Genomic DNA, 10569 nt, shown 5'->3' with positions numbered 1-10569 from the left:
TCCTAAAAAAAGAAAAAAAGATGATTTAACATTAACCACTGAAAATTCCCTTAACCCAGCAGGTTCCCTAACAGGGGATCTAAATCTTAATTACCATACAAAATTCCGACCAGACCTAGGAGGAACTCCCTTCATGACAGGACGATAGATGATTCCTCCAAGGTAATTAAAAAAAAAAAAACCTATCTATACCAATTCTAAGTTCATTTGGACTAAACAAGGTCTTATTGATAGCAAAGGATAATTGAAATCCCAAACTTACAAGGTTTTCAACAAAAGTAAAATTTGCTAAAAGTTAACAGTGTAACATGTATTATAGTAACTTCTAATCTTGTGGCCTTAGATGGTCTAGTCCACAGACATAAAAGAAGTTCGCTTTGGAAAAGAATGGTTATCATCTTCGAAAAAAAAAAGTGGGGGGCAGAATTTCTGTAAAAAGAATGTTATATGGTAAATTATTGTCCTGAAATAAATTAACTGGTTGTTTAAAGAAAGAAATATTTGTAATAAGTCAGAAAGTTGAGGCATGTCAAAGAATTGTCTGCAAAAGTTGTGAAAGAGAAAAATGTTAAAAAAAATTTATGCACTCTCCCTCTCCCTCTCCTTCTCCCTCTCCCTCTCCCTTTTTCATGGTCCTCATCTCCCCTTTGCACGGTCTCCCTCTGATGCCAAGCCGAGGCTGGACTGTACTGCCGCCATCTTGGCTCACTGCAGCCTCCCTGCCTGATTCTCCTGCCTCAGCCTGCCGAGTGCCTGGGATTGCAGGCGCGCACTGCCACACCTGACTGGTCTTCATATTTTTTGGTGGAGACGGGGTTTCGCCGTGTTGACCGGGCTGGTCTCCAGCTCCTGGCTGCGAGTGGTCTGCCAGCCTCGGCCTCCCGAGGTGCCGGGATTGCAGACGGAGTCTCGCTGACTCAGTGCTGAATGGTGCCCAGGCTGGAGTGCAGTGGCGTGATCTCAGATCGCTACAACCTACACCTCCCAGCTGCCTGGCTTGGCCTCCCAAAGTGCTGAGATTGCAGCCTCTGCCCGGCCGCCACCCTGTATAGGAAGTGAGGAGCGTCTCTGCCTGGCCGCCCATGGTCTGGGATGTGAGGAGCCCCTCTGCCTGGCCGCCCAATCCGGGAAGTGAGGAGCGCTTCTTCCCGGCCACCACCCCGTTTAGGAAGTGAGGAGTGCCTCTTCCCGGCCACCACCCCGTCTAGGAAGTGAGGAGTGTCTCTGCCTGGCCACCCATCATCTGGGATGTGGGGAGCGCCTCTGCCCCGCCGCCCCGTCTGAGATGTGAAGAGAGCCTCTGCCCGGCCATGACCCTGTCTGGGAACTGAGGAGTGTCTCTGCCCTGCCGCCACCCCATCTTGAAGGTGAGGAGCGTTTCTGACCGGCCGCCCCTTCTGAGAAGTGAGGAGCCCCTCCGACCAGCAGCTGCCCCGTCTGGGAAGTGAGGAGTGACTCCGACCGGCAGCCGCCCCGTCCGGGAGGTGGGGGGCAGTCCCCGCCCGGCCAGCCACCCCACCCAGGAGGTGGGGGGCGCCTGTGCCCAGCCGCCCGGTCTGGGAAGTGGGGAGCCCCTCTGCCCGGCCGCCACCCCGTCTGGGAGGTGGGGGGCCCCTCTGCCCGGCAGCCCCATCTGGGAAGTGAGGAGCCCCTCTGCCCGGCTGCCCCGGGAGGTGGGGGGCCCCTCTGCCTGGCCGCCACCCCATCTGGGAGGTGTGCCCAACAGCTCATTGAGAAGGGCCATGATGACAATGGCGGTTTGGTTGAATGGAGAAGGGGGAAGTGTGGGGAAAAGAGGGAGAGATCGGATTGTTGTTGTGTCTGTGTAGAGGGAGGCAGACGTGGGAGACTCCATTTTGTTCTGTACTAGGAAAAATCTATAACCTTACCCCCAACCCCCTGCTCTCTGAAACATGCGCTGTGTCCACTAAGGGTTAAATGGATTAAGGGCGATGCAAGTTGTGCTTTGTTAAACAGATGCTTGAAGGCAGCATACTGGTTAAACGAGTCATCACCACTCCCTAATCTCAACTACCCAGGGACACAAACACTGTGGAAGGCGGAAGGTGGCAGGGCCCTCTGCCTAGGAAAACCAGAGACCTTTGTTCACATGTTTATCTGCTGACCTTCCCTCCACTATTGTCCTATGACCCTGCCAAATCCCCCTCTCCGAGAAACACCCAAGAATGATCAATATATACCAAAAAAAAAAAAAAAATTATGCAAGAAATGTTGTATAATTTAAAAATAATAAGGCCTCCTGAGTACTATTGAAGAAACAGTTTATGTGCAAGGTCCATAAGAAAGGTAAAATATACCTTTGGTAAAAGGATTATAAGGAGGCATAAGAATGTGGATTTTTACCTACATTAAAAGGTTAAAATTTGTTTTGAAGGTTTAAGCAAGTTTTGAAACGTTAATTGTAAAGAAAATTCTGTGTGTAAACATCAGCTAAAGTTAAAGGGGTGTCATCCAGTTTTTCTGTGAACAGGAAATTAAAGTATAAACACAATGAGTTTTTCTTAAAGCACTAACCTACTCTTCAACAAAAATTATAAAAGGTTAAAAAGAGTCTATAAAAATCTTACTTTATGGTCTGACATTAAAAATTGAATAAATATGTCTACAAAGTTTTATTAAAACTAAGTTTAACATTAATGGCACACTAATATAAAGGTGACATTTAGCTTATCTGGTATAAAAATCATGCAGGAAGCATTGTCAAATATAAAATGGTGTTTGGCTTCTTTGGTCTAAAAACTAATTAAAAAAATGGGTGCTAAAGGAAATTTCTCAGTAGAAAGGCACCAAGGACTATAAAGTCCACTGCTGATGTCCCCACATTTAAAACAAAAGGTCAATTTCTTAAAAATTATATACTTGATTTATCTTCCACTTTCCCTCAAAACTAAAACTCTTTTAGCACATGTACCACCCCTAGAATTTCTGGTAAACTAGCACCAGCCTGAAGATCACATTCTCATCAAAAGGTGAAAAAAAAAAAAAAAAGGAAACTCGAGCCAGCCTAGGAAGGACCCTACCTTGTGTTGCTAACCACCAAGACTGCTGTTCATACAGTGTAAAAATGATGGACTCATCACACCCAAGTCAAGAAAGCACCACCCCCTCCAGAGTCATGGGCCATAGTCCCAGGGGAATACCCTACCAAACTAAAGCTTAGAAAAATTTAACTCTTTCATCTGTTCTATTACTCTTTCTTCTTTCCTCACTCTATTGCTGACCATCTAGTTATTAACATAACCAAGTCAATTTTGCCTCAAACTATTGCATTTAATGTTTACCTTGTTATACCCTGTGGGGACTTGCCAAGTCAAAGACAGGTCTGTACTTCAGAAAAGTACCTCTGTCCCTCCTGACTCTCCTCAGTCTGGGCATTAGTAAATTAGGACAATTTAATCTGGGGAAATTTTGATAAAGACTCCATTGTCAACCAGGAGTCTTGCCCTCCAATGTAGAACTTTTATGCCATAGTTGGTCCAACGTTCTTTGGACCACTAAAGAGCAAGGATGGACTGCCCTAACTGATTTTTATAACTTCCTAAAATCATAGATTCATTTTACTATGTTCCTTATAGAGGATCATTTTACCAGAGGATCATCTTGTTTTAAAGACTTAAAACAAACTTTGGCAATTAAGACAGGATACCAAGATGCAAATGTCTGGTTGGAATAGATCAAATATTCCATCCGCACGTTAAACAAAAGCAATTGTTATGCTTGTGTGCATGGCAGGCCAGAGGCCCAGATTGTCCCCTTTCCACTAGGGTGGTCCTCCAGTCGACTAGGCGTGGGCTCCATTGTAGCTGTTTTCCAGGATTCTACAGCCTGAAGTAACAAGTCATGCCAAGCTCTCTCTCTGCTATATCCTGAAGTCCAGTACCCTTCGGGTCACACCCAAGGGCCATCCAGCTTCTGTCTCCCAACATTAAGTTCACTTTGTGTCTCTCATGACAGGGAGGAAACTTAGCATTCCTTGGAGACCCGAAGAGATGCAGTGAGCTTAAGAATTTTCAAGAGCTTATCAATCAGTCAGCCCTTGTTCATCCCTGAGTGGATGTGTGGTGGTATTGTGGTAGACCTTTACCGGGCATTCTGCCGAATAACTGGAGTGGCACTTATACTTTAGTCCAGTTGGCTATCCCTTTCACCCTGGCATTTCATCAACCAGAAGGAGGAAAAATAAGACATTGTAAAGCGAGAGAAGCCCCTTATGGATCTATCGACTCTCACGTTCATTAAATGCAATTGGAGTCCCACGGGGAATATCAGATCAATTTAAAGCTTAAAAACAAATAGCTGCAGCATATGAGTCAATATTTTGGTGGGTGGCAGTTAATAAAAATGTAGATTGAATAAACTACATCTATTACAGCCAATAGCAACAAGCTTTTCATGAGTTAAAAGAAAAACTCATGTTGGCCCCAGCCCTGGGGCAACCTGACATGACAAAACCCTTTATACCTTATGTGTCAGAAAGAGAAAAAAATGGCAGTTGGAGTTTTAACCCAGACTGTGGGGCCCTGGCCAAGGCCAGTGGCCTATCTCTCAAAACAACTAGATGGGGTTTCCAAAGGCTGGTCCCCATGTCTAAGGGCTCTGGCAGCAACGGCCCTGTTAGCACAAGAAGCAGATTAACTAACCCTTGGGCAAAACCTAAATATAAAGGCCCCCCCAAGCTGTGGTAACTTTAATGACTGCCAAAGGACATCATTGGTTAACAAATGTTAGATTAACCAAGTACCAAAGCTTGCTCTGTGAAAATTCCCGCATAACCATTGAAGTTTGCAACACCCTAAACCCCGCCACCTTGCTCCCGGTATCAGAGAGTGCAGTTGAACATAACTGTGTAGAGGTGTTGGACTCAGTTTATTCTAGCAGGCCCAACCTCTGAGACTATCCTTGAACATTAGTTGACTGGGAGCTGTACGTGGACGGGAGCAGCTTCTCCAACCCCTGCAAAGTGACTCTGAAGAAGACGACAAGACCTGCTCCAGTCACACCTGGAAGCTGACTGGTCCACGCATGGCCGAAGCATGAGAAAACTCATTGTAGGACTCATTTTCCTTAAAATTTGGACTTTTACAGTAAGGACTTCAACTGACCTTCCTCATACTGAGGACTGTTCCCAGTGTATACTTCAAGTCACTGAGGTAGGACAAAAGATTGCTACGGTCCTATTATTTTGTGGTTATTATAAGTGTACTGGAACTCTAAAAAGAACTTATTTGTATAATGTTATTCTATACAAGGTATGTAGCCCAGGAAATGACTAACCTGATGTGTGTTATGACCCATCTGAGACTTCCATGACCAGTTTTTTTGTTTTTTGTTTGTTTTGTTTTTGTTTTTGTTTTTGAGATGGAGTCTCGCTCTGCTGCCCAGGCTGGAGTGCAGTGGCATGATCTCGGCTCTCTGCAAGCTCCACCTCCTGGGTTCACACCATTCTCCTGCCTCAGCCTCCCGAGTAGCTGGGACTACAGGCACCCACCACCACGCCCGGCTAATTATTTCGTATTTTTAGTAGAAATGGGGTTTTACCCTGTTAGCAGGATGGTCTAGATCTCCTGACCTTGTGATCCGCCCTCCTTGGCCTCTCAAAGTGCTGGGATTACAAGTGTGAGCCACTGCACCCAGCCGACCACAGTTTTTAAAATAAGATTAAGGACTGAGGACTGGTGGGGGCTCATAAACGATACAAGTAAAGTGTTAGCCAAAACAGAAGAAAAAGGGGTGCCCAAACAAGTCACCTTGAAATATGATGCCTGTGCTGTCACTAATAGTTATGTTAGGAAGAGGATATGGTTCTCTTAATTTAAAGAAGAGGCTATATGGCAGAAAATAAGTACATTTGCCATGAATTAGGACTGTGTGGAAATGAATGTGGATACTGATCTTGTGTCATTTAGGCTACTTGGATAAAAAATGAAAAGAATCCTGTCCAGCTTCAGAAAGGATAAAGTGCCCTTCCTCTACCAGTGGTCACTGTAACCCCTTAGAACTAGTAATAACCAACCCCCTTAATCCTCACTGGAAAAAAGGGGAATGTGTAACCCTAGAAATCGACGAAGCTGAATTGGATCCTCAAATAAATATCATGGTTTGAGGAGTTTATAAATGCTCTCCTGAGCCAGTATTTCAAACCTTCTATGACGAACTGAATGTGCCAGTACCAGAAATTCCAGGAAAAACAAGAAATTTGTTTTTGCAATTAGCCAAGCATGTAGCCCAGTCTCTCAATGTCACTTCATGTTATGTATGTGGAGGAACTATAACAGGAGATCAATGGCCATGGGAAGCCCGAGAATTAGTACCCACAGACCCAGTTCCTGATAAATTCCTGGCTCAAAAGAATCACCCTGGTAACTTCTGGGTCCTAAAAGCCTCAATCATTAGACAATACTGTATAGCAAGAGTTGGGAAGGACTTCACCCATCCTGTGGGAAGACTCAGCTGCCTTGGGCAAAAACTGTATAATAGTACTACAAAAACAGCCACCTAATATAGTTCAAACCATATTAAGAAAAATCCATTTAGTAAATTCCCAAAGTTGCAAACTGTGTAGACCCACCCGGAGTCCCACCAGGACTGGACCCACTGGATTATACTGGATATGTGGGCATAGACCTTATGCCAAATTACCTGACCAGTGGGCAGGTAGTTGTGTTATTGGCACTATTAAACCATCTTTCTTCCTACTGCCCATAAAGACAGGTGAACTCCTGGGCTTCCCTGTCTATGCTTCCCGCGAAAAGAGAATCATAGCTATAGAAAATAGGAAAGATAATGAATGGCCCCCTGAGAGAATCATACAATATTATGGGCCTGCTACTTGGCCACAAGACGGCTCGTGGGGATACCAGACCTCCATTTACATGCTCAACCAAATCATATGGTTAAAAGCTGTCTTAAAAATAATCACTAATAAGACCAGCAAAGCCTTGACTATTCTGGCCTGGCAAGAAACTCGATGAGAAATGCTATCTATCAAAATAGATTGGCTCTCAACTACTTGCTAGCAGCTGAAGGAGGGGGTCAGTAGAAAATTTAACCTTACTAATTGCTGTCTTCACATAGATGATCAAGGGCAAGTAGTTGAAGACATAGAAATATGACAAAACTGGCACATGTGCCTGTGCAAGTGTGGCATGGATTTAATCCTGGGGCCATGTTTGGAAAGTGGTTGCCAGTGCTAAAAAGATTTAAAACTGTTATAATAGGAGTTATAATAGTAATGGAAACCTGCTTACTGCTCCTTTGTTTGCTACCTGTACTTCTTCAAATGATAGAAAGCTTTATCACTACCTTAGTTCATCAAAATGCTTCAGCACAAGTGTACTATATGAATCACTATCAATCTGTCTTGCAAGAAGACATGGGTAATAAGAATAAAACTGAGAACCCCCACTATTGAGTGAGATTCTCAAAGGGGGGGAATAAGGGAGGAGACCACCCCTCATATTGTTTTATGCCCAATTTCTGCCTCCAAAGAAAGAAGAAGTAAAAACTAAAAGGCAGAAATGAAATCCACAGGCAGACAGCCCAGCGCCGCACCCTGGGCCTGGTTAAAGATTGACCCATGACCTAACCAGTTATGTTAGCTATAGATTCCAGACATTGTATGGAAAAGCATTGTGAAAATCCCTGTCCTGTTCTATTCCGTTCTGATTACCAGTGCATGCAGCCCCTAGTCATGTACCCCCTGCTTGCTCAATTGATCATGACCCTCTCATGCGGATCCCCTTAGAGTTGTAAGCCCTTAAAAGGGGCACGAATTGCTCACTCAGGGAGCCCTGTTGTTGGAGATGTGAGTCTTGCCAAAGCTCCCAGACGAATAAAGCCCTTCCTTCTTTAACTCAGTGTCAGAGGGGTTTGTCTACAGCTTGTCCTGCTACAGCACCACCTAATATTGAGTTTCAGTTTTAATCTTTATGCTTAACACCATTTCATGCAATGCTTTTTATTCCTAACATTTTGGCTTTTAATTTTTTAGGGTAGTAGAAATACATAGGAATTTTAAAACTACTTCTCTTTACCCTTAGATAGTAGGTAGAACTTGATTTTTGGCGTAAAGCACTTATTACTAAGCCTAATGCACTTTGGTAAATAGATTCTAACAATGGTGTTCCTCTCATGGCTTAAAAGAGCAGACACCAATTTTACTTTTGAAATATATTTTTTATATTAAAATCTAGAATGGGCCGGGCGTGGTGGCTAACGCCTGTAATCCCAGCACTTTGGGAGGCCAAGGGGGGCAGATCACGAAGTCAGGAGTTCAAGATCAGCCTGATCAACATGGTGAAACCCCATCCTTATTAAAAATACAAAAAAAAAAAAAACTAGCTGGGTGTGGTGGCATGCGCCTGTAGTTCCAGCTACTTGGGAGGCTGAGGCAGGAGAATCACCTGAACCCAGGAGGCGGAGGTTGCAGTGAGCCGAGATTGTGCCACTGCACAACAGCCTGGGCAAAGAAAGAGAGCAAGAATGAGCCTATTATTATATAGAATATTTGTGGTCTCTATGTACATTATCATCCATTGAGTTAGTTTCTGAAAGTTCTAGAAAGAGTAATATAAGAATACTTATTTTGCTTAAATAATTTGGCTTCTCAGTTAATAAAATGAAATAGATTGAAATTACTGATCAGTCACTTAAAATGTTGGTTTTAGAAAAAAACTATTAACATTTACCTTACTTACAAACCTATGAATTTTATTCAAATCTAAACATAGTGCTAATCTTAAAAGAACTGTATGATTAGGATTATAGAAAGCCTTTTCTCCATTTACATTTAGAAACTAAATAACTGCTTTCCAGGAAGCCCAAAGCAGCAAATGTGATACACAATTATAAGCTATTAAATATTAATACTATCATCTAAATGAATCTTTTAGGTATCTGCATGTTCAAGTTATTTAACATATAATTTAGAAACTATAAATTTTTATAAACTAAATGATAAACTAAAAATATAAAGTTATCAATTTCTTTTTCTCAGTTTTGAAATGCTGTCATTATTCATAGTTGACATTATACTAAATTTCAGAGGCTGTGGCTGTTGAAACTAGAAAAGTCAGGGTTGACTCTGCTTTACTTGCAAAGTCAGACTTGAAGTCTTTTTTTATACAAACATAGCAGCACAAGGAAGATAATCAATGCTCCACATTTATTGTAAACACAGCAGTACCTTTCTAGGGAGAATATGTGTGAGCACATTAACTAGAAATTCATGGCATCTTTTGCTGAAGTACAGACTTCTATATAGCAAATAATAAAGACAAATAAAAATTTAACACTGTGATAGAATCAAAAAAGTATTCTAAAAATTCCTTCTGACCCATTATTTTGTTTTTACCAGAATGATTGTGATAGAATTGTTGCAGCAGTGTGGTCTTAATCCACACTCTCTGTTTCATCATTCTTGGGGTTTGGCCATAAGACTTTTATGCTTAAGAAAAATGTTTCATTTTCCTTATTCAGTAATTTAACATGATTTTCCACAACCTCACATTAAAAAAAAATGATTCATTCTAAAAATAAAAGTGATTAAACCACATACCACTTATCCCCAAAAAGAGTAACTAACTATATATTCTTGTCTACAGTTAATACATTAAAAAAGGATACAGTCATTTATTTCAGCTGCACACTTGGGAATAAAACACTTCTTGGGCTATAGACCAAGAGCTTTCAGAGAGGATAGCTTACAACATGTAGGAGACCTGGTATAAAAACATTTACCCCTATGCCTTAAGAGGTAAATACTTCTGTCTTACACTGCTAATTCCAACCATTAACTTGGAGCTAAAGATACATAATATGTCATTATACCACAAAACATCTTATTTCTATTTTAGATTCAGGGAGAACATGTGCAGATTTGTAGCATAGGTATACTGCATGGTGTTGAGGTTTGGATACTTAATAATCCCATCGCCCAAGTAGTGTACAACACACTGGAAAGTAGTTTGTCAATGCTTGTCTCCATTTCTTCTTCCATCTTTTTAGAATTCCCAGTGTTTATTGATTTTATCTGTGTTTCCACACGCATCCAATGTTCACCTTCCACATGTAAGTGAGAACATGTGGTATTTGTTTTACTGATCTGTGTTAATTTGCTTAATGGCCATCTGCTGCATTCATGTTGCTGCAAAGGACATTACTTCATTTCTGTGGCTGCATAGTATCGCATGGTATATAAGGACCTCATTTTCCTCATCCAATCTAAGGTTTATAGGTACCTGGTTTAATTCTATGTCTTTGCTATTGTGAATCATGCTAGAATAAACAAGTGAGTGCAGGTGGCTTTTTGGCAAAGAAAATTTATTCTTTTTGGGAATAATGGGGCTGATGGGTCAAATGGCAATTCTATTTATAGTTCTTTGAGAAATCTCCAAACTACTTTCCACAGTGGCTAAATTTTATTGCATTCCCACCAACAATTTATGAAGATAAATTTTCTTCATAATACATTTCTCCACAACTTCAAATCTGTTATTTTCTGACTTTTAATAACAGCTATTCTAACTGGTGTGAAATGGTATCACATTT

The 10569-nt window shown here is 41.9% G+C and overlaps 1 annotated feature.

Annotated features, from left to right (window-relative positions):
• Nucleotides 1474-2049: an enhancer, noted in NCBI's record as "H3K27ac-H3K4me1 hESC enhancer chr19:23343199-23343774 (GRCh37/hg19 assembly coordinates)". NCBI's record gives its function as "activates a minimal SCP1, AML or CMV promoter by ChIP-STARR-seq in primed H9 embryonic stem cells {active_cell/tissue: H9 hESC(primed)}" and the evidence as "EXISTENCE:reporter gene assay evidence [ECO:0000049][PMID:30033119]".

The sequence above is a fragment of the Homo sapiens genome, chromosome 19 (assembly GCF_000001405.40).
Source record: "Homo sapiens chromosome 19, GRCh38.p14 Primary Assembly".
NCBI lineage: Eukaryota > Metazoa > Chordata > Mammalia > Primates > Hominidae > Homo > Homo sapiens.
Note: the sequence above shows the minus strand (reverse complement) of the source record. Positions and strands in the feature narration are given on the sequence as shown.